A 23,088-nucleotide genomic window follows, 5' to 3' on the forward strand; every position below is an offset into this window, starting at 1 on the left:
TTTGGTTCCTTAAACTACGTACACTGATAAATTTTAATAACAAAAATTAAATTTAAAAAAGTCCTCAGCACAGTGCCTGGCGCATAACTGCTCAATCAATGATAGTTTTACAGCTCTGATTAATGTTCTTTCATTGGCATGAGAATAGTGTGTTCTCACTACCTGTTCCTTGCCAGAGGGCCAAGTTACACCGATTTTCCATCTAGCTTCTCTTTGAACCATCTTTAAACCTTTCATGGAGAGGATCTGCATGTGAGAATGAAGACAACTCTAGGGTTTCATGGCAGTGGGAAGGTTACACTGGTGCCCTCTTAATGCCTCACATAAGCACTAGCCCAGTTGAGGACACCAACTACCTGCCTTCTGGTCAAACTGCCTGGGCAAATGTTGGTCCCAATTCCACAAAGTCACCCCAAACTCTTCCCTTATTATTATGTTAAACTTTTTGGCCATTTCAAAGTAGATAATAGATCCACAAGCCATTACATCGCCAGGCCCATAGAACAAAAGATCTGCCTTTTCCAAACCTCCTCCAGTACCCGCCCCCCCAACTACTGTTTCTAAACCCTCACCTGGATGGAGAGAAAAGAACTCTTCTATGCCTTAGTCAACATAGATAGCAGCAGGTGAGAAAAAGAGCTGATTTCTGATGTAACAGAAGCAGACTGACTCCTGCTAGCTCCAGATACAAAATGCTCTACAGGATGACTGTCAAGAGAGGAAAGGGGTGGGGGTGGGGGAAGAGAATAAGCACAAAAGCAAGCCAGCAAGCACGAGTGCGCGAGCAGATGGCACTTGGCAGGGATGGCTCTGGAGGAGCGGGATGAACCTCCCCACAAAGATAATAATAAGTTTCTCCTTCTGAACCAGCATTTGATGGAAGTAATAACAGTGGCTCAGACTGTAATCCAGTTTAAAGTGGGAATATATGGCATATACCAGCCTCGAACACTTTTTTTTTTAAAGAAAGAACAAACACAATATAAGAGCCATATTTCAAGTAACAAAATAAGTGAATTTGGGGTCCTCTTCAGCTCCCAGTGTAAATCATTACTCCTTTAGTGAAAGAAAGCAAAGCAGGTAGCTGTCCTAAAGAACAGCCCCTCGATTCTGCCAGCCACACTCTTATCCCCAGCTGTCCTGAATCAGACCACTTGGGGTCTTATTGCTCTGTAAAGGCCTTCTTAGAAAACAGTGAAATTTTAAAAATTACTGGCATATAAGAAAAAGGCATACGTAACTTTAACAGGACTTTTTTTTCTCTTTCCACATCTCTGTGAATTGTTTTTCATCAGTTTCGCACTGTCCAAACAGAAGCTACTCTGGCCCCCCAGAGATGAGTCAGAGTGCTAGAATTCACAGCAAGGTTAGCCTTGAGTCAACGGAGTGAGCACCTATGCTACCCTAACTTGATCGTCAGATGCTCTTCAGCTAATCACATAAAAAGGGATCATTAAAACACTTTCTAGCCTTCACCAGTACTTGATCTCACTGTTCACCTGGGACAGACAGTTCAGCCACAACTGAGCTGACAATGAGGCAAGCCAATTTCTAACAAAAGCAGGGAGCCAGATTTATGAATCTTTGAGGCGAGTCAGCATATATTTACTTTTCTGACTCCTTCTGACAGCTCTCCCACAGGGAGAAGCCCCTTTGCGTTGTGGGATGCAGCTAGGGCAGGCGTTCCCCCCAGGGACGGAGCACTGAGTTCAGGGAGCTTACGATTCAAGAACAGCTGGGAAGGACTCCAGGGTGTCTGTTTCCTGGCACTGACAGATGTGCCATTCTGTTGACATATCCACCCAGCTCTCATAGTGCAGGTGCCTGAAGCAATCTATTACCTTCATCCTACCAACCTTAGCAAGTTAAACTGTAACTATGGAGGCAGCAGGAAACTACCTGCCTACTAAAACTGTGGTCATAGGCTTCCAGAGCATCACGTTCTTTCCCAGCCTTGATGGCAAGCAGAGATCTCTCTGGAGTTAATCAGATCTATTGCCAACTCAGTGATCCCTGACACTAGCACCTTAGGCACCCCTCCTCCCTAGCCAATAAAGATGGCAACTGAGCCGGGCACGGTGGCTCACATCTGTAATCCCAGCACTTTGGGAGGCCGAGGTGGGCAGACCACTTGAGGTCAGGAGTTCGAGACCAGCCTGGCCAACATGGTGAAACCCTATCTGTACTAAAAATACAAAAATTTACTCACGCCTGTAATCCCAGCACTTTGGGAGGCCGAGGCGGGCGGATCACGGGGTCAGGAGATCGAGACCATCCCGGCTAAAACGGTGAAACCCCGTCTCTACTAAAAAATGCAGAAAATTGGCCGGGCGTAGTGGCGGGCGCCTGTGGTCCCAGCTACCCGGGAGGCTGAGATAGAGGATTGCTTGAGCCCAGGAAGTCAAGGCTGCAGTGAGCTGTGATTGTGCCACTGCACTCCAGTCTGGGTGGCAGAGTGAGACTCTATCTCAAAAAAACAATACATACACACAAACACAAAACCCAAAACACAAATTATATATTAGGACTGTATTGCTCTCTATTGAGCAAATTCATACTTCATTTTGACTGAACTGCTCTCTAATTGCTTTGTGCATGTTTCATTTCCCCTACTGTACTGCGGGCTCCTAGTGGGTAGGGATCCTTTTATTCCTCAAGTCTCCTAATGTACGATGTACACTGCTCTGAACAGTGCACAGATGTATGAATATTTACTGATGACTACTTCCTACACCCTATTCTAAGGAGCCCTAAGAGCTAGAGTGGAGCTGACTCAACTTTAGCCAGAAATGCCTTCAGGGAACCTGCTCGATGCTTCATATAAATTGCTTTCTAAGATTCTGCTTAGATTAAGAAAAAAAGGAGACCCCAATTTCTCTTTGGCATCTAAGTTTCACATTTTCAACGCATTATAGTCAACAGTCTATCTCTAATGGGAAGCTTTTCTCTACAGTTCTTGCAAATGCTACTTCTAAATGATCCTACAAAGTCCAGGAAAAAAATTAGATAACATATTAATACTAGTTCATCAACTCCAATAAATAAGTCAATAACCTCACCATAGTCCAGCCCTTCCAAAAGAAGCAAACCCTGGTAGGACCTTAATTAAAGCTGGCAGAAAATACCAGCCCACCATTCCCAACCGTCTGTGATGACTGTGTGCAACCATCACAGAGGTGGTTAAAAAGCATCAGTCCCTAAAGGAGAGGAAAACAATTAATGGGCTCTCAATTCAGGAAGACAAGTACAGTGCCCTGGCCAAGAACAGCAGCCCTCTCCTAAAACTGCAGCGATGGCCAAGCCAGAAAGCTCATAGGTGGGTGAGGCAGCTTCCATTAGAGAAAGCACAGGAGCAATTGGTTGTTTTGCCTTAATGTTCATCTTCCCATTAAACCCAACAGACTGAAGTTCTCATTCTAACAAAGCATGCTTAGCCCAGGGCTGGCCCATTTACCACCCTGAACAGTCACAGACTCTGGAGGGTTAAATTCAAGAAAAAATACTAGAGAAATAGGAGCTTAGAAGAAAATATTTTATTTATTAGAGTGTTAAGATGTGAAACGTCTTTCCTCAAATACAGGCAATTTACTCTCTTGCCAATTTACTTCTATCCTATACAATTAACACTAATCCACAAAATCCTTTGTAATGAACATCTAATCAACCAATAAATTAATCCTTCATTTATGCTATTACTACTGAAGTCTTTCCTACTAGACCATGTGAAAGAGGACTCTAATCCTTCATTTATGCTATTACTACTGAATGAAGTCTTTCCTACTAGACCATGTGAAAGAGGACTCACATCACCAGGTTTCTTAATTTGTCTCTTGATCTAGACCACATTTAAACTACTGGTCAGGCTGGGCACGGTGGCTCACGCCTGTAATCCCAACACTTTGGGAGGCCGAGGCGGGTGGATCACCTGAGGTCAAGAGTTACAGACCAGCATGACCAACGTGGTGAAACCCCATCTCTACTAACAATACAAAATTAGCTGGGCGTGGTGGCACATGTCTGTAATCCCAGCTACTCCGGAGGCTGAGGCAGGAGAATCACTTGAACCCGGGAGGCAGAGGTTGCAGTGAGCCGAGATTGCGCCACTGCACTCCAGCCTGGGCAAGAAGAGCGAAACTCCGTCTCCAAAACAAAAACAAAAAAAAAAAAAAAAAAAAAAAGGAGGGCTGGGCGTGGTGGTTCACACCTGTAATCCCAGCACTTCGGGAGGCCAAGGCAGGAGGATCACTTGAGATCAGGAGTTCGAGACCAGCCCAGCCAACATAGTGAAACCCTGTCTCTACTAAAAATACAAAACATTAGCCAGGCATGGTGGTGGGCACCTGTAATCCCAGCTACTCAGGAGGCTGAGGTAGGAGAATTTCTTGAGCCCGGGAGGTGGAGGTTGCAGTCAGCCGAGATTGTGTCACTACACTCCAGCCTGGGTGACAGAGCAAGACTCCATCTTGGAACAAATAAAAAGTAAAAATAAAATAAAACTACTGGTCAGAAAAATATCATTCTTACAACATAGTCACTTGCCCCTCAAATAAACATAAACTTTATTTTTAAAATTTAAGGTGAACGCCAACATGAATTGAAGCCAGGACAGACCTAACAGTTTATGTGGTAATATGGGTAGGATGCTAGGCTTAATATGCAGCATTATTATTCAGAGAAGAATACACAGGAATGCTTACAGGACTCCACCACTTGAACCACCTACAACAATGAACTCCCAGCATCAGGGCTTTATTCAACCAACCAAAACCAACAACCAGGCACCATCATCACCTTAGCAAACTGTGGAAGACACTGTTTAATCAATTGGCATAGAAGAAAACAGATCAAGAAATCAAACACCTAGAAAAGTGCCTCACAACAATCAGAATATTTAAAATCACAGTTAACTCAACAAACAACTCTCACTTATTCACCACATTTGAAAAGTCAAAATATCACTGGGGCCTCTCTGGGTCATGGATAAGGAAGTCGATGGGCCATAAGGACTGAAAAGACATCAACAAGACATGCAAACAGGGTAAATAAAGCAAAGCCCAACAACAATATTTAGAATAAATAATTGAGCAACATTGTTTCTTTTTTTAAAATACTAAAGGTAAAGAACTTCACTCTTTCAACACCCAAACCATAGCAGAGAGACAGGAGTAAATTATAAATGTGGATGAAGCAACATCCACAGGACATGAAGATGGGGCTGGGGAAACGGGAGAAGGGGTAAGCTTTTGCATTGTTGCTATTGGCAGGAGAGCTGAGCAGTCTTAAAGAACCTCCTCTGGGGAGCGGCAGTCTAGGATTCTAGGTTTGCCATGAAGGGGTATCACAAGTCCCAAGGCCCACCACCTACCCCTTCTCTTCTCCAAGGGCACCTACCTTACTGTAAGTCACTACTGATAAGTTGTTTGCGTGACTGCTGGGAGACAGATTTACAGAGTTCTGTGACAGTCTATTCTGGTCTTGCTCAGTTTGGTCAGGAGCAGGAGCCCATGTGTCAGGAGCAGGAGCCCATGTGTTTTTGCTGATCGAGTCGAACTCGGAGCCCCCAGGGTCTTTTAAGTTGTTTTCATCTGATTGTCGGTTCTTTTGGGGAGAGGCAAAAGGGTTGAAGTTTCCTTCTACCTTACGATGCGGCTGTGTGTTGAACTCCGTTTCAAAAGATGACAGCTGCTGCGTTACTCCTAAAAGTCCACCCACCTCCACACTGAGAATCACCCAGATGACATCTGAAACAAAAAGGTAACTCATTTCAATGCCAGGCTTACCCTTAAAGGCCCAAGATAGCCACCACCAAAAACCCCAAACATTATCCAAACCACAGAATGAAACATTCTTCTATATGCTAGTTTTAAAAGCTTGCTAACAAAGCTGCCTGGTACATTTGCATTGCATGCATAGCTACATTTTTGGTAATGTCAAATTCAAATTCTAGTATAAATTCAGCAGAGGTCTGTGGTGAGATCCATGAAACTCTATTTATAAAAAGCTTACCAGTTGATGCCAATGCACCGTCATCTTTGGAAATCATTATTCCAGAGAACGATCAATAGATAGAAATCAAAAGTTTCCTAGAATTGGTATCTCTTTGTGGTTTTTCACTTTATTTTACATGTATTTTACAATTATGAGAATTACAACTTTATCAATGCTCTTCCCTTTGGGGGCAATTTAGAATGACCATATGTTGTCCAAACTAGGACAAATGAGAGTGAAAGAGGGACCTATTAATAATTACGCCAGGACCAGCATTTATCTAGACAAAATGGAAGATACTATCACCCTGGCTATCTTCTCAATCTATTTGACCAAAAGACACCAAGAATTTGGCATGCCTCAGACTTTCTAAAATACCCAATTTAACACCTGCTTTGCTTTTCTGTCATACAGTCATGCATTGCTTAATGAAGAAGATATGTTCTGAGAAATGTATCATTAGGCAATTTATCACTGTGTGAACATCATAGAGTGTACAAAACCTAGATAGTAGAGCCTACTACACACCTAGGCTATATGGTATAGCCTATTGCTCTTAGGCTACAAATCTCTATAGCATGTTACTGTACTGTTACTTTATTGAATACTGTAGGCAACTGTAATACAACAGTAAGTATATGTGTATCTAAACGTATCTAAGGCCAGGCCAGATTTCATGTCTGTAATCCTGGGCATTCTGGGAGGTCTAGGCAAGAGGATCACTTCAGACCAAGAGTTTGAGACCGTCCTGGGTGACACAGGGAGACTCTGTCTCTACCAAAAACTTAAAAATTAGCTGGCCGTGGTGGTGCTCGCCTGTAGTCCCAGCTACTTGGGGGACAGAGGTGGGAGGATCGCTTGAGCCCAGGAGGTAGAGGCTGCAGTGAGCTGTGATTACACCAATGCACTCCAGCTCAGGCAACACAGCACCACCCTGTCTTAAAAAAAAAAAAAAATTACAGCCGTGGGTGGTGGCTCATGCCTGTAATCCCAACACTCTGGGAGGCTGAGGCAGGAAGATCACTTGAGGTCAGAAGTTCGAGACCAGCCTGGCCAACATAGTGAAACCCCATCTCTACTGAAAATTAAAAAACTAGCTGGGCATAGTGGCGGGTGCCTATAATCCCGGCTACTCAGGAGGCTGAGGCAGGAGAATTGCTTGAGCCTGGGAGGTGGAGCCGAGATTGTGCCACTGCACTCTAGCCTAGTTGACACAGCAAGACTCCATCTCAAAAAAAAATTAAAAAATTAAAAAAAATAGCTAAACATAGAATAGTAAAATATATGATATGAAAGATAAAAAATGATGTACCTGCCTAGGGAACTTACCATGGAGCTTTCAAGCCTGGAAGTTGATCTGGGTGAGTCAGTGAGTGAATGTGGACATTACTAAATACTATGTAGACTTCATAAACACTGTGCAGTTAGGTTACACCAAATTCATTAAAAAACAAACTACAATGTTATGGAAGCTACAGTGTCACTAGGTAACAGGAATTTTTCAGCTCCATTATAACTTTATGGGACCACCATCACTGACCAAAACATCATTATACAGTACAAGACTATAGAGGGAAACTCTACCACCTATCCACAATTAAACCATAAATGTATTTTTAAATAGATGTACCATAGGACATTTGGTCATAGTTCAGCTCTTGATTTGCTCAAGTGCCAAAGCTAAGGGTTCAAATAAAAAAAGAAAGTAGCGGTTCCTGAACCTTTGATGTTCAGCACCTCACTCCAGAGAACAGTGACACGTACATTCCTGTTGGAAGGTTTTCAAAAAGCAAAATACAGAAAGGCCAAGAAGCTTTTAACTGTGTGAACCGTACTGAACACAAATACGAAGAACTGTCTAGGATCCTAAATAACTGTTGAAAGGTTGATAGAAAAAGGCAAATGCATTCCATCAGTTAGCTACCTAGAAATAGAGATAATATAATCCTAGAACAAACACTAAAAACAAGCAGTGAAGGAAACTAAGGAAAACTCTCTCAGGCTGTGTTTATTCTAAATTTTTAATTTGGGCTGTATATCAAAAGAAGGCAGCCTGGCTGGGCACGGTGGCTCATGCCTGTAATCCCAACACTTTGGGAGGCCGAGGTGGGTGGATCACTTGAGGTCAGGAGTTCGAGACTAGCCTGGCCAACATGGCAAAAACCCTGTCTCTACTAAAAATACAAAAATTAGCTGGATGTGGTGGTGCACGCCTGTAGTCTTGGCTACTTAGGAGGCTAAGATGGGATAATTGCTTGAACCTGGGAGGCGGAGGTTGTAGTGAGCTGAGATCGTGCCCCTGCACTCCAGCCTGGATGACAGAGTAAGAGCCTATCTCAAAAAAAAAAGGTGGGGTGGAATCTTAAAGTATCATACAACCATAAAAACTTAGAGGTTTGGAAGCTGTATTAAGAACTGGTTGTATCCAAACAGCCAGCCTGGATGACAGAGTGAGAGCCTATCTCCAAAAAAAAGGGAATCTTAAAGTATTATACAACCATAAAAACTTAAGAGGTTTGGGAGCTGTATTAAGAACTGGTTGTATCCAAACAGCTAAGAGTCAGGCCCTAGTAAGTGGAGATGCAGTGACATCTGCTGTTCACTCCTGGAATTAGCAATTTCTTTCTCCTCTAAGAAGAGGAAATTAAAGCCACCAGCAGCAGCACTAGTATGACTCACAGGAATGTACATTCATTCCAGATACACTTATCATCAAAGAAAATATGGCCGGGTGTGGTGGCTCATGCCTGTAATCCCAGCACTTTGGGAGGCCGAGGCAGGTGGATCACGAGGTCAGGAGATCGAGACCATCCTGGCTAACACGGTGAAACCCCGTCTCTACTAAAATTACAAAAAAAAATTAGCCAGGCATGGTGGCGGGCTCCTATAGTCCCAGCCACTCGAGAGGCTGAGGCAGGAGAATGGCATGAACCCGGGAGGCAGAGCTTGCAGTGAGCTGAAATCACGCCACTGCACTCCAGCCTGGGCGACTGAGCAAGACTCCGTCTCAAAAAAAAAAAGAAAAAGAAAAAGAAAAAAAAGAAAAGAAAATATAAATCCCCATGTAAACTAGCAACATAAAAGTTAAACCTCTTGACTTAACACCACACATGTAGTGTGCCACTTCCCTTGAAAATCTGGGACAGTGCCAGGAATAGTGGGTCAGAGGACCTGTGTTCAAAGCTCAATCTCATAAATCAATCCAATGAAGTGGGACAATCCAATAGCAGGCAGCCTGAGGGAGAATCATTCCATGCTCTCCTATCCTAGCTTTCTAACACAAGACAGCATTCCTTCACTCTACTATTTGTTTTTCCCAAACAGATAAGCCCTGTCTTACAATACAGGCTGAGTATTCCTAATTTGAAAATCCAAAACTTTTTGACCACCAATCTGACACTCAAAAGAAAATCTCATTGAATCATTTCAGATTTTGAATTTTTGGATTAGGGATGATGAACTGATATAATGCAAATATTCAAAAATCCAAAAAAATGTAAAATCTGAAACACTTCTGGTCTCAAGCATTTCAGATAAGGGATACTCAACCTGTAGTTTTACTCCTCCTTGTCTACCACCCATCTGTTTTAAAAATAAATTCTTTTGTAAGTACATGATAGATTTGGCACACAGCTACTAAGCTACAGGTCATATGCTTCATTCTTAGCTCAGGAAACTAAATGCTTATGAGAAAGCTATTCTGAAAGCTGTTATCCATAAATAAGACTAATAACCTACCACCACCCCTTTTCTCCCTTTAGAACTAAAGCATCTTTAGGCTGGGTGCAGTGGCTAGCACCTGTAATTCCAGCACTCTGGGTGGTTGAGGAACGAGGATCACTTGAGCCCAGGAGTTTGAGACCATTCTGGGCAACACAGTGAGACTTCTTTCCCCCTCCCCCTCCCCCTCTCCTTCCCTCTCCTTTCCTTTCTTTCTTTCTTTCTGATGTCTTTTTTTTTTTTTTTAATTAAATTTTTAGTAGAGATGAGGTCTCACTATGTTGCCCAGGTTGGCAAACTCCTGGGCTCAAGCGATCCTCCTGGTTCAGCCTCTCCAAGTATTGGGATTACAGGCATAAGCCACTGCACTGGCCAAAAATGTCCTTAGTATGACTCACCAGAACTTATCATACTTAAGCCACCTCCCCATCTCTTTGCGTTGGCTATTGCTCAGCTCTGTACATAGATTCTACATAGTAGCTATAAAAGGAAAGTCATTTGAGAAGCCACTGATTTATAAACACCAACAATAAATATCAGTTCTGACCCTCCTAAGTTACTGCTGCAATGGGTCATCATGAACAGCAAAATACAACTTCTACGTGGTACAATCTCAATCATCTTGTACCACTTCTAGACCTTATATTCCAGAATGCGTTCACCCCCTGCCTACTGTATTACTTTAATCAAACAAATGAAAAAGTAAAGAAAAGGTAAAGATGGCCTAATAAGCTTGTTTCATAGACAATGACCATTCCCAATTCTTACCAGAATGCCTTGATCACTGAGATAAGAACTAGCTGCTAGCCAGATACTTTACCATCTGTTATAATAAAACCACAAGTGGAAGAGATCATCCAATGAAACTGCTTCGTTTTCTAGATTTAAAAAATCTGAAGTCTAGAGGTAAAAGTGATGAGCTCAAGGTCATAATTTAAGTTAAAGCAGACTGAGAACACCCAGCTTTTAGTATAGCTTTAAAAACTCACACCTAACAGGAACATAGGAACCCAAATACCCAGGGAACTAAAGCTATGGTTAAGTCAGTCCCATTTCCCAAGCCATAGTATCTTTACCCACAGGTCTTTGGCACCTGTGATCTTTGGCACCAACAGGAAGAATGGACCACAAATGTCCCAGAGAAGTAGCCAAGGAGGTAGAATCATGTGCCATGAGAACACAATGAGGACTTAGTAAGCAAATGGAGACCCTGATTCTAAAATGTCTGGCCTTAAGGAGATTTTCTTTTAAAGCACCTGAGGCCAGTCACAGCCACTCACATCTGTAATCCCAGCACTTTGGGAAGCCAATGTGAGCAGACTGCTTGAACTCAGGAGTTTGCGACCAGCCTATGGCAACACCAGCCTAGGCAACAACGGTGAAACACTGTTTCCACAAAAAATACAAAAATTAGCCAGGCATGGTGGCACACGCTTGTAGACCCAGCTACTTGGGAGGCTGAGGTGGGAGGATAGCCTGAGCCTAGGAGGTCGAGGTTGTACCACTGTGCTTCAGCCTGGGCAACAGTGAGACCCTGTCTCAAAAAATAATAATAATAAAAATAAAAAGCACCGGAGACAGAACATTAGAGCTAGAAAGTACTGTAAATGTTATCTCATTCAACTTGTCCCTTTACAGATGACAAAACCTCATTATTATAGTATAAACTTCCTTTTGTAGAAATACATCATAAATTACTAAAGAGAAAACATAGCTTTCCTATTTCTTAATCTTGGACGATAAGTATAAAAGAGGCCAGGTACAGCAGCTCATGCCTGTAATGCCAGCACTTTGGGAGGCCAAAGCAGGTGGATCACTTAAGGTCAGGAGTTCCAGATCAGCCTGGGCAACATGGTGAAACCCCATCCCTACTAAAAATACAAAAATTTGGCTGGGTGCAGTGGCTCACGCCTGCAATCCCAGCATTTTGGGAGGCCAAGGCGGGCGGATCATGAGGTCAGGAGATCAAGACCATCCTGGCTAACACGGTGAAACCCCATCTCTACTAAAAATACAAAAAAATTAGCCGGGCATGGTGGTGGGCACCTGTAGTCCCAGCTACTCAGGAGGCTGAGGCAGGAGAATGGCGTGAACCCGGGAGGCGGAGCTTGCAGTGAGCCGAGATTGCGCCACTGCACTCCAGCCTGGGCAACAGTGCGAGACTCCGTCTCAAGGAAAAAAAAAAAAAAATTTGTTACATGTGGTGGTGTGCACCTGTAGTCTCAGCTACCTAGCATGCTGAGGCATGAGAATCACTGGAACCTAAGAGGAGGTGGAGGTTGCAGTGAGCCGAGATCGCATCACTGCACTCTGGCCTGGGTGACAGAGTGAGACCCTGTCTCAAAAACAACAACAACAACAACAACAACAACAACAAAAAACCAAAGCCAATCAAACAAATTTTTAGAATAAGTGTAAGAGAATAAAAGGAAAATGTTTAAGTTGGAGCTCACATCCATAATCTCAACGATTCATACTGACATACAAAGACATCACAGATTATGGTCAGATAAAAAATGTCTGCATACATGTAAAAGCTAGCATCAGAGGTCAAATCACATCATAATCAGCATATACACATCTACAATTTCTCCAGTAAAATAAAATAGTAAAAATCAGTGCAACATTCCCAACTGGTAAATCTGTTTCTGATGGGATATAATTCTGAAACTGCTGTCAGTGTATACTGGGGCTGAACAAATAAGTAAACGGATGTTATATAGTGGGAACAAGGTTCCTCACTTTTGAAGATATTATAGATAAGCAAGAAAGGAAGGCATTCTAAAAATGAATGCTGTGGTACTGAATTAAAGTCAGAGATGTCAATATAAGTTCCTGGTTATAATAGATGAAGAAATACGGAATCAGTTGTAGATACGTCCATATACAAAAGTTGGTGTGCATACATGTATTATCTAGCTCTGTTTGCCAAGAAGGACTAGAATTTATGACACCCCAGTAGCAATGAACATACCCAGTGCCCAGATTTTGGTTTCTATATAGGATTCTCCAGTAAAAAGTACAAGAGCTCCTTGGATAAATGGCTGATTCTGCGGCTAGGGCATGGAAAATACAAGATGAATCTGAAACATCCTATAGTAGCAGAAAGAAAGTGGTCAAAGAACAAAAGGATAAGGGCATGTCACAGGGACATATAAACCAACCAGAAAGAACTTCCACTGGCCAAAGCTGGAACAATTCGAGCAACATAATAAATAACATAGTTTTAAGTCACAATCCAAAGTATAAAATAAACATACATGAATCCTGGCTGGGTGCGGTGGCTCACGCCTATAATCCTTGCACCGTGGGAGGCCAAGGCAGGTGGATCGCCAGGTCAGGAGATCGAGACCATCCTGGCTAAAACGGTGAAATCCCGTCACTACTAAATATACAAAAAATTAGCCGGGCATGGTGGCGGGCACCTGTAGTCCCAGCTACTCGGGAGGCTGAGGCAGGAGAATGGCGTGAACCCAGGAAGCAGAGCTTGTAGTGAGCAGAGGCCACGCCACTGCACTCCAGCCTGGGCGACAGAGCAAGACTCCATCTCAAAAAATAATAAAAAAAAAAAAATATATATATATAAAATGTATATTATATATTTTTTATATATTATTATATATATTATATTTTATATATATATATATATTCATGGATCCACAGTGCTATACATATAAGTGGGAGAGAAGAGACAAACTTCCTAACAGAGGAATTCCAAACAATATATGTAGATACTCCCTGTTTCCAAGAGGTAGAACTTAATTCTATACATCTCCCATTCCCTCCTTGAGAGTGGGCTAGCCTTGTGATTCGCTTCCAAAAAATTGTATAGGGAGAAGGAAAAACAGTAACTCTACAATAGAAAAACCTGGCAAACATACTACTTAACCAAGTGATCAAGGTTAGCATCACCAATGATATTAGATGAATATCAAGTACCCTTGATAGGGTGCTTTACCTCTGTGGTATTCTTTCTAAACCCCGTAACATCAGTGTAATCATGAGGAAAACATCAGACAAGCTCAGATTACATGTCATTCTATAGGATACTTGCCAGTATTCCTTAAGACAGTCAAGGGTCATGAAAAACACTGAAAGACTGAGAAATTGTCACTGACTAGAAGAGATTGGGGCACATGACAACTAAGTGTAATGTGGTAGCCTAGATTGGATTCTGGAATAGAAACAGGTCATTAGTGAAAAAAATTGGTGAAATCCAAATAAAGTCTGGAGTTTAATTAATAGTAATATACCAATGTTGATGTCTTTAACAAGTGTACTATGATAATGTAAGGTGATAACAATAGGAAAAACTGGGTATATAAGAACTCTATATTTGCAACTTTTCTGTAAACCTAATTATTACAAAACATACACTAAAATACATTGGTACAGTATTAGAAAATCATATTTCAGAAATTAACAGGTAAAACTGCAACAGAGGCCAGGCATGGTGGCTCACACCTGTAGTCCCAGAACTTTGGGAGGCTGAGGTGGGTGGATCACCTAAGGTCAGGAGTTCAAGACCAGCCCGGCCAACATGGTGAAACCTTGTCTCTACTAAAAATGCAAAAATTAGCCAGGCATGGTGGCACACACCTGTAATCCCAGCTACTGGGGAGGCTGGGGCAGGAGAATCACTTGAACCTGGGAGGGGCAGGTTGCAGTGAGCCGAGATCATGCCACTACACTCCAGCCTGGGACACAGAGCGAGACTCCATCTTAAACAAAAACAAAAACAAAAACTGCAATAGAGCTGATGCAGACCACTTTCTATGGAGAGAATTGACTAGCAAAAGAGAGTGTTTTGATATCAAGCGAGGGGTAGAACAAGGTTGTAGCAGGGCAAAAAGGGAACCATCATGCGCCCAAGTCCTTTAGAAGCCTCAAAAACACCGTTTTATCAGCTGAAGACAGAAGCCAGTCCTATCTGCAGGGAAACGCTCCCTTTCCCAGTAGAGCATTACAGATCAGTTAACAGTCTTCAAACTAGGGTTACATCAATGACTGTACAACCGAACCACCATCATCTTGATGTGGATGTTGGGCTGAGGCTGCTTGACTAATCCCAGAGTCTGCTTTTGACCAGCAGTTGTAAAGAGAAACCACTTAAGCCAAACAATAAACTGCTTCATCAATAGGCTTCCACTTGGTTCTGGGCTTCCCAAGGGGAAAGGTCAGGGGACTTGGGAAGGGACCACTTCAAAAATCTAACGTACATGGACACCTCCCAGTGGTTAAAGGTATAGCTGAGACTAAACTCTTGGATGCTTCTGATCTTTAGAGCAACCACCACTCCTTGTGCCTGGGAGTTGTGAGACATGAATGCCCTGGCATCAGGAGGCAAAGCCTGGTGAAGGTCAACAGGAAGATTATGGTGGAGGCCACTTCCAGATTTGAAGGTTGTGGGTTCAAATCCTTTAGGAAGATCAACCCATCTTCAAAGCAGAACAGGAACTTCACACTTCCCCTAAGGATTAAGAAACAAAAGGGGTCTGGCTGCAGTCAGCTGCTGAGCTATAAGCTACAGGCTCATATTTCATCTCTATAGAAAAGCTGGGTGTGTACTGTCTAGCTTCAGTGAGAAAGGCTTGAAAGTGGACTGAAACATGCCCCAACAGTAGGCAGTGCAAAAGTCAGTATTATGCTCTTTTCAGGCTGGAACCATGGAGGGTGTCGAAGAGAAGAAGGTTCCTGCTGTGCCAGAAACCCTTAAGAAAAAGCGAAGGAATTTTGCAGAGCTGAAGATCAATCGCCTGAGAAAGAAGTTTGCCCAAAAGGTGCTTTGAAAGGCAAGGAGGAAGCTTATCTATCACAAGGAATATAAGCAGATGCACAGAACTGAAATTCAAATGGCAAGGATGGCAAGAAAAACTAGCAACTTCTATGTACCTGCAGAACTCAAATTGGCATTTATCATTAGGATCAGAGGTATCAATGGTGTGAACCCAAAGGTCTGAAAGGTGTTGCAGCTTCTTTGCCTTCATCAAATCTTTAATGGAACTTTTGTGAAGCTCAACAAGGCTTCAATTAACATGCTGAGGATTGTAGAACCATATATTGCATAGGAGTACCCAAATCTGAAGTCAGTAAATGAACTAATCTACAAGCATGGTTATGGCAAAATCAATAAGAAGTGAGTTGCTCTGACAGACAACACTTTGATTGCTCGACCTCTTGGTAAATATGGCATCACCTGCATGGAGGATCTGATCATGAGATCTATACTGTTGGAAAATGCTTCAAAGAAGCAAATAACTTCCTGTGGCCCTTCAAATTATCTTCTGCATTAAGTGGAATGAAGAAAAAACTACACATTTTGTAGAAGGTGGAGATGGTGGCAACAGGGTGGACCAGATCAACACGCTTAATAGAAGAATGAACTAAGGCGTCTATCATGATTATTTTTCTAATCTAGTCAGTTAATAAACAGTATGCGCTCTCAAATTGAAAAAAAAAGTCAGTATTATGAGCAGGTCTTGACATCTTTGTGCGTGTCTCTTAGAACTGCTAAGGCAGCAGTGTGTGCATACCATTGTGAAAAGAAGGAACTTCCAGTTGTCCCGGTGCTGATCTGTCTAGTCTCAACTTCTAGTCTGCACTGCCACATAATTTACTCAGCACAGTAGCCACGCTCCCCTGACACATGTCTGGGCACTCAGATTCTTTCACCACATCTGTCAACATGCCACCTACGCCTCAGCACCTAAAGGGGAAAAGGCTAGAGATAGGCTCCAGTTCATCAGCTTCTCAGTGACCTCCTGATTTCCGAGGCTTAGACCCCACCAGCAGCAGAGTACCGCTGAAGGACAACCTCCACTGAAACTCCGCATCCCTACCCATTCTCACTCCCTACCACCTCTTACCTCAAATGTGCATTAGAAACTTGTTCCTTAGTATTTAGCATTATACCCAGGAATTTCCTTTTAAAATGCAAATGCCCCTCAAAAAACGTATTAAGCTACCTTAAATCTAATCATCAGAGTAACAAATCAGATCAACCAATGGGCACAAGTTCACGCAGGAAAGAAGAGAAGCCTAAGAAAGGCACTGATAGGAGAACTGAAGAGGAAACAACAAAGAAACTATTCCTATTTCACAATTTTTCCACATTATGCCCTATTTCAAAAATATGAGATTTTCCCTTAAACATGGGGAGGGAGCAGTACAGCAATCATTTAATCACTTATTTCTCTCAAATCTTAGGAAACAAGGATCCTTGCTTCCCAAATCCAGGAAATCAGTGCCATGGAATTAAGAGTAAAAACCTGGCTGGGGCTGAAAAATGAAAATCTGTTCAGAATGAAAAAGGAAAAAGCAACTCTCCCATAATTGGACTGGGAGGACAGACACAGATAAAGACAAGTACAAAGTTAAGAGGAAATATTATTTCTCCCAAGGTCATGCAGCAGCAGTAAAATGTCCTAATGACCCTCTCTTTGTGTGGCTACTGCCTTCGTACCAATAATGCTTCCAGACCTAGTTTGCTATAGCCATCTATTACTGAGAATACCCAATTGCTAAACTGCCCTTGCTTCATGTCAACACCTAAACCCTAATTATTCCTGTTTCACCTAATCCTGTCTCAGAAACAGCAACCAATCCAGAACTGACCCCTGTCCTACCAAGCATCCCTTAAAGCTTCCTCAGAATCCTTTAGCTAGAACCCAAGCCCTACAAAAGATGCTTCCCTCCTCCTTCCTGTTCCATGGCATTCCACAGTTCCTCTGAAGTGCCTTCACTCACTGCATCACGTCAATAATCTGATTTTGTCAGGCTACAGGCTTGTTCCTGGTGATCTTTGAACCTAGATGCCTTCCTCTCTTCCTCCCCCTCATTCCAGCTCATAGATGCAGAGACCCCATCACCCTTTTCCTTACAGTCTTCCCTCTTTCATGACTGCCCTCCTCTGAAATGGGCCCACCTGGCTCAGCCATCAGCTGATACCATAAGGAAGGAGAAGAGATGTATTCATTCAATACCAAGGGCATCAGAAAAGATAGAGAAGGAACAGCCCTGACAATAAAGGAAAACCGGGAGTCTATGGTGCTCTAGAAGCCTAGTGACGAGTGTTTCAAGAGGACAGAGGACAGAGTCACCAGCTGAGTCCAGTGCTGCTAATAAGTCAGTAGAGTACTAAGGACAAACCATTGGATGTAGCAACACAAAGGTCACTGGAGAGCTTGAAAAAAGCAGTCAGTTTCAGCGGAGTAATGGGGATAGACAGCTACATAGAATTTGTGAGAGTAAGAGATCAGGAGGTGGAGACAATTATTATTGGTACATTTGCGAAGAAGTTTTGCTACAATGGAGGGCAGAGAGATGAGGAAGAAGCTAGAAGAGGAGAATTAAGAATACTGCATTATTTGTTAACAGCAAGAAATTTAAAACAACTCAAATGTTCATCAGTAGGTACACAGAATATATATATATATAGAAGGATCTTCATTTCTTCTGTATCACAGAAGAAATGAAGATTTCCATTAACTTGTTTTTGAGACAGAGAGTCTCACTCTGTCACTCAGGCTGGATGAAGTGCAGTGGCATAATCATGGCTCACTGCAGCCTTGACCTCCTGGGCTCAAGTGATCCTCCCCCCTCAACCTCTTGAGTAGCTGGGACTACACGCAGGCACTTGCCACCATGCCTGACTATTTACTTTTTGTAGAAATGGGGTCTCCCTTTGTTGCCCAGGCTGGTCTTCAACTCCTGGGCTGAAGTGATCCTCCTGCCTCAGCCTTACAAAGTGCGGGGAAGACAGGCATGAGCCACCACATCTGGCCTCTATTACCTTTTAAGAGTGCTCTCTAGGATATACATATTAAGTGAAAAAAAGTGGCCAGGCACAGTGGCTCACGCCTGTAATACTTTGGGAGGCTGAGGCGGGTGGATCACCTGAGGTCAGGAGCTCAAGATCAGCCTGGCCAACATGGTGAAACCCCGTCTCTACTAAAAATACAAAAATTAGTCGAGCATGGTGGTGCAGGCCCGTAGTCCCAGCTACTTGGGAGGCTGAGGCAGGAGAATCGTTTGAATCTGGGAGGCAGAGGTTGCAGTGAGCCAAGATTGCACCACTGCACTCCAGCCTGGGTGACAGAGCAAGACTCTGTCTCCAAAAAAAAAAAAAAAAAAGCTAAGATGCAGATCAATATCTGTAGTTATAAGATTGTCTTAGAAAAGGGGCAAATTTATATACATTTGCTAGTGTTTGCTAAAAGAAAAAAACAATGAATAAAAATGAGTACCCTATAGCAGGAGGATGGGACTAGCTGAAGGGGGCAGGGATGGATATATATTATATCCATCTAAATATATTACGTAAATAAGTTTTGACTTAGGAATCACAAAATGTTTCACATATTCAAAAAATAAAATTAGGTCAAGGTGAGACACCGTAAAAATGGAGATAAGGAAATTCCCTAGGATGGTGACTGGCACAAGGCAGGTGCTCAATAAGGAGCAAATTATTAATGCAAAAGTACTTAGCACCATAAGTAGCATTAAAAAACTGCTTACTGTGTTGCCCTGTTGGAAGTTGGAGTCACTGTTAAGGGTAACGTCTGAGGATCGGGTATGTCTAATTTAACCTGGAGAACTATAACAATGACAGCAAATTGAAGGCAGAAAATACCTCCTTACTAAGATGTGTTAACATTTAATATTGCTAATTTAAATATAAATTATTGCAGAGCACAGTGGTTCATGCCTGTAGCCTCCAGCCTCCCAGGAGGCTAAGGTAGAAGGATCACTTGAGCCCACAAGTGTAGCAACACAGCTACACTCCAACTCTACAAAAAAAATTTAAAAATTAGCTGGGCATCATGGCACATGCCTGCAGTCCCAGCTACTCAGGAGGCTGAGGTGGGAGGACTACTTGAGCCCTTACGTTTGAGGCTGCAGTAAGCTACGATTGTGCCGCTGCACTCCAGCCTGGATGATAAAGTGAGACCCTGTCTCAAAAATAATAATACATTTTAAAATAATGATAAATTATGTTGATAACATCTGCCTTTGATAAGACCGGACACTAACTTGTTAATGGACACCATCTTTGGTAGGGAAGACATACACAACAAAACAGTAACTGTTTTAAAATCCATAACACTACTTTATAGGAGTCTGCTCTGCAGACCAACCACCTCCATCAAGATCATGTGGTTTCTGTGTTAAAAATACATATTCCTTAGCCACTATCTGCAAAGAACTAAAACAGGTTTCATATACAGAATCTAAGAGTTTACAACGACACTTACAAAAAGGGGGAAATCAAACCAAATATTTAATTCTTCTTCTTCATTAATTTCATTGAAAGCAACAAGAGCATCACCTTCTTACTCTAACAACTGAAAATTAAAGGTAAAGAATTAAGCATTTAACCAGCCTTTTTGGTAGAAATTAAATTTCAAGATAAGTCACTGTTGATGAACAAAAGGATTCCCCCACTTCAAAAGAATTCCAGCTAATAAAAGTAGAAGGAATCGCTACTTTGTAACTTCTAATGAAATGATTTAGGCAATCATCACAAATTGATGAAACAATTATGCAAAATATCGATTGCAGAGATCCCTCTGCAATGGAGGGATCAGGCTGTTACCACCTGAATCCTTTAATCTTAGCATCACTAAGGCTAAAAAATTTTGAACAGTGAAAATAATTTTGAAAAAGAAGACTAACTTATTCCTGATGTCAAAACTTATCACAAAGTGGCCCGGCATGGTGGCTCATGCCTGTAATCCCAGCACTTTGGGTGGCCGAGGCAGGCAGATCACTTGAGATTAGGAGTTCGAGACCAGCCTGGCTAAACATGGTGAAACCCCCGTCTCTACTAAAAATACAAAAAATTAGCCAGGCATGGTGGCGTACCCCTGTGGTCCCAGGTACTCAGGAGGCTGGGGCAGGAGAATCACTTGAACCCAGGGGGGCAGAGGTTGCAGTGAGCCAAGATCGTGCCACTGCACTCCAGCCTGATGACAGAGCAAGACTCCAGCTCAAAAAAAAAACTAGTGTGGTACTGGCAGAAAGACAGACATATTAAGACCAATGGAATAGAAGAAACTGCCCAGAAACAAACCTTGTGTATATGGTCAAATGATTTCAACAACGGTGCCAAAACAATTCAATGGTGAAAGGACAGTCTTCTCAAAAAACGATGCTGAGAAAACTGCATATCCACGTGCAAAAGAATGAAGTTGGACCCTTACCTTATGCCATATACAAAAATTAACTCAAAATGGATCAAAGACCTAACCATATGAGCTAAAACTATAAAACTCCTAGAAAAAAGCTTAGGGAAAAGCTTTATCACATTGGATTTGGCAATGGTTTCTTGGACATGACACCAAAAGCTAATAAATTAGACATCAAAATTAAAAACTGTGCACCAAATGACACAATCAACAGAGTAAAAGGCTACCCATGGAATGAGAGAAAATATGTACAGATCATATATGTCATAAGGGGTTAATATCTCAAATATATAAAGAACTCCTACAACTCAACAGAAAACACAACCTGATTTCAAAATGGGCAAAGGACTTGAATACACATTTCTATAAAAATACAAATGTCCAATTAGCACTTAAAAAGATACTCAACATTACTAATCACCGGGGAAATGCAAATCAAACCACAATGAGATACCACCTCACACTTATGATGGCTACTACTAAAAAAAAAAAAATCCTTAGTTGCCCTTGGTGAAAGCTTTTGCTTCCTAGAGACATCAGAAAATGCCAAATGTTGGTGAGGATGTGGAGAAATTAGAACGCTTGTGTGCTGTTAGGAATGTAAATGGTGCAGCTGCTTTGTAAAACAATACGATTCCACAAAAAATTGAATATAGAATTGACAAATGATCCAGTAACTCTACCTCTAGGTATATAAACTAAAGATCTGAAAACAGGGTCTCAAAGAGATATTTGTACACCCATGTTCATTCATAGCAGCATTACTCACAATAGCCAAAAGGCGGAAGTAACCCAAGTGTCCAGTAAAAGATCAATGAACAAAATGTAGTATATATATACACCAAAATATTATTCAGCCTTTAAAAGGAAGGAAATTCTGATACATGCTATAATATGGATGAACCTTGATAATGTTAAGTGAAATAAAGTAGTCCCAAATGGACAGATACTATATAATTCCACGTATGTGAGGTACCTAAGGTAGTCAAAATCAGAGACAGTAGAATGGCGGTTTCCAATGGCTGGGGTGAAGGGGAATGGAGAATTATTAATGGGTACAGAGTTTCAGTTTTGCAAGATGAAAGGAATTCTAGAGGTGAATAGTGGTGATGCCTGTGAATATACTTATTGCCAGTGAACTGTACACTTAAAAATGGTTACAATAAATTGTATGTGTTATTTTACCACAATTAATCAAAACAAAAACAAAAACATCAGAGGCCTACTGATTCTGTTATTTGTTGAAGGCCAATCAGTAATTTATTATGTGGCAGAATTAGAAGTCAGATCTTTTTTACTCCTGGTCTAGTGCTTATTGATGACATCTTGCAACAATCCCACCCCACCCCTGGTCAGTTTTGAGAGTTCCACTAATCAGAAAATAACTAATACTCATGGAGAAAACACTTCCTGGCAGAAAAGATGGAAATATTATCCTAATAATTTAAACTTCTATAGCCTACGAAAAAAAGCATAATCTGAGTGGGTAATAGCACTACCACAAAAAAACGTAATATAGCATGAAACTACACTTAAGAACTTAAATTACTAATTTAAATTTCAAAGTACAATTGTGTTTAAGGATATGCAGGAAATCAAAATGATAGCTACAGTACATTAAGAGGCAAATCTATACAGCTGGCATAAAATCATTTTGGCATTAATGTTGAAAAGCACTTAAATATAACATTGGATAAAAAGGCTTAAAATTTAAATATTGTCCATTTTATATGCAAATAGGAAGACAAATGGCTGGTATTCTTACTCCTCCAATACTTCTTTTTCTTTTTGTTTTTTTGAGTCTCACTCTGTTGCCCAGGCTGGAGTGCAGTGTCACAATCTCGGCTCACCGCAACCTCTGCCTCCTGGGTTCAAGCGATTCTCGTGCCTCAGCCTCCCAAGTAGCTGGGAGCACAGGTGCCTGTCACCACGCCCAGCTAATTTTTGTATTTTTAGTAGAGACAGGGTTTCACCATGTTGGCCAGGCTGGTCTTGAACTCCTGACCTCAAGTGTTTGGCCCACCTTGGCCTCCCAAAGTGCTGGGATTACAGGTATGAGCCACCATGCCCAGCCTCCTTCACCAATTCTGGTGAATTTACCAACCAGTATAATTGGGACATACTTGGTACATCTTGATATCTGTGAGATTTTCATCAAAGGGTAAAATTTAGAATAAGATATTGAAGAAATACT

The 23,088-nt window shown here is 41.9% G+C and overlaps 1 protein-coding gene and 1 pseudogene across 6 annotated transcripts in view; one reads left to right on the forward strand and one right to left on the reverse strand.

Moving 5' to 3' along the window:
* ILRUN (inflammation and lipid regulator with UBA-like and NBR1-like domains) overlaps positions 1-23,088 on the reverse strand; it is a 109,480-nt gene that overhangs the window by 13,876 nt on the left and 72,516 nt on the right. For 3 of the 6 annotated variants that reach the window (XR_926300.4, XR_007059333.1, XR_007059332.1), the window contains exons 4-5: positions 5,392-5,741; positions 573-708 (exon numbers count right to left, since the gene is read on the reverse strand). Coding sequence is in view for 3 of the 6 variants with exons in the window: in NM_022758.6 (NP_073595.2) it covers positions 5,392-5,741 (350 nt within the window). In the remaining 3 variants the exon portion in view is untranslated. The remainder of the gene's footprint in view (positions 1-572; positions 709-5,391; positions 5,742-23,088) is intronic. The other 3 variants (NM_022758.6, NM_024294.4, XM_005249298.4) reach the window with 1 other exon arrangement.
* On the forward strand, positions 15,359-16,245 carry RPL7P25 (ribosomal protein L7 pseudogene 25; annotated as a pseudogene).

Source organism: Homo sapiens, chromosome 6, assembly GCF_000001405.40.
Source record: "Homo sapiens chromosome 6, GRCh38.p14 Primary Assembly".
Classification (NCBI taxonomy): domain Eukaryota; kingdom Metazoa; phylum Chordata; class Mammalia; order Primates; family Hominidae; genus Homo; species Homo sapiens.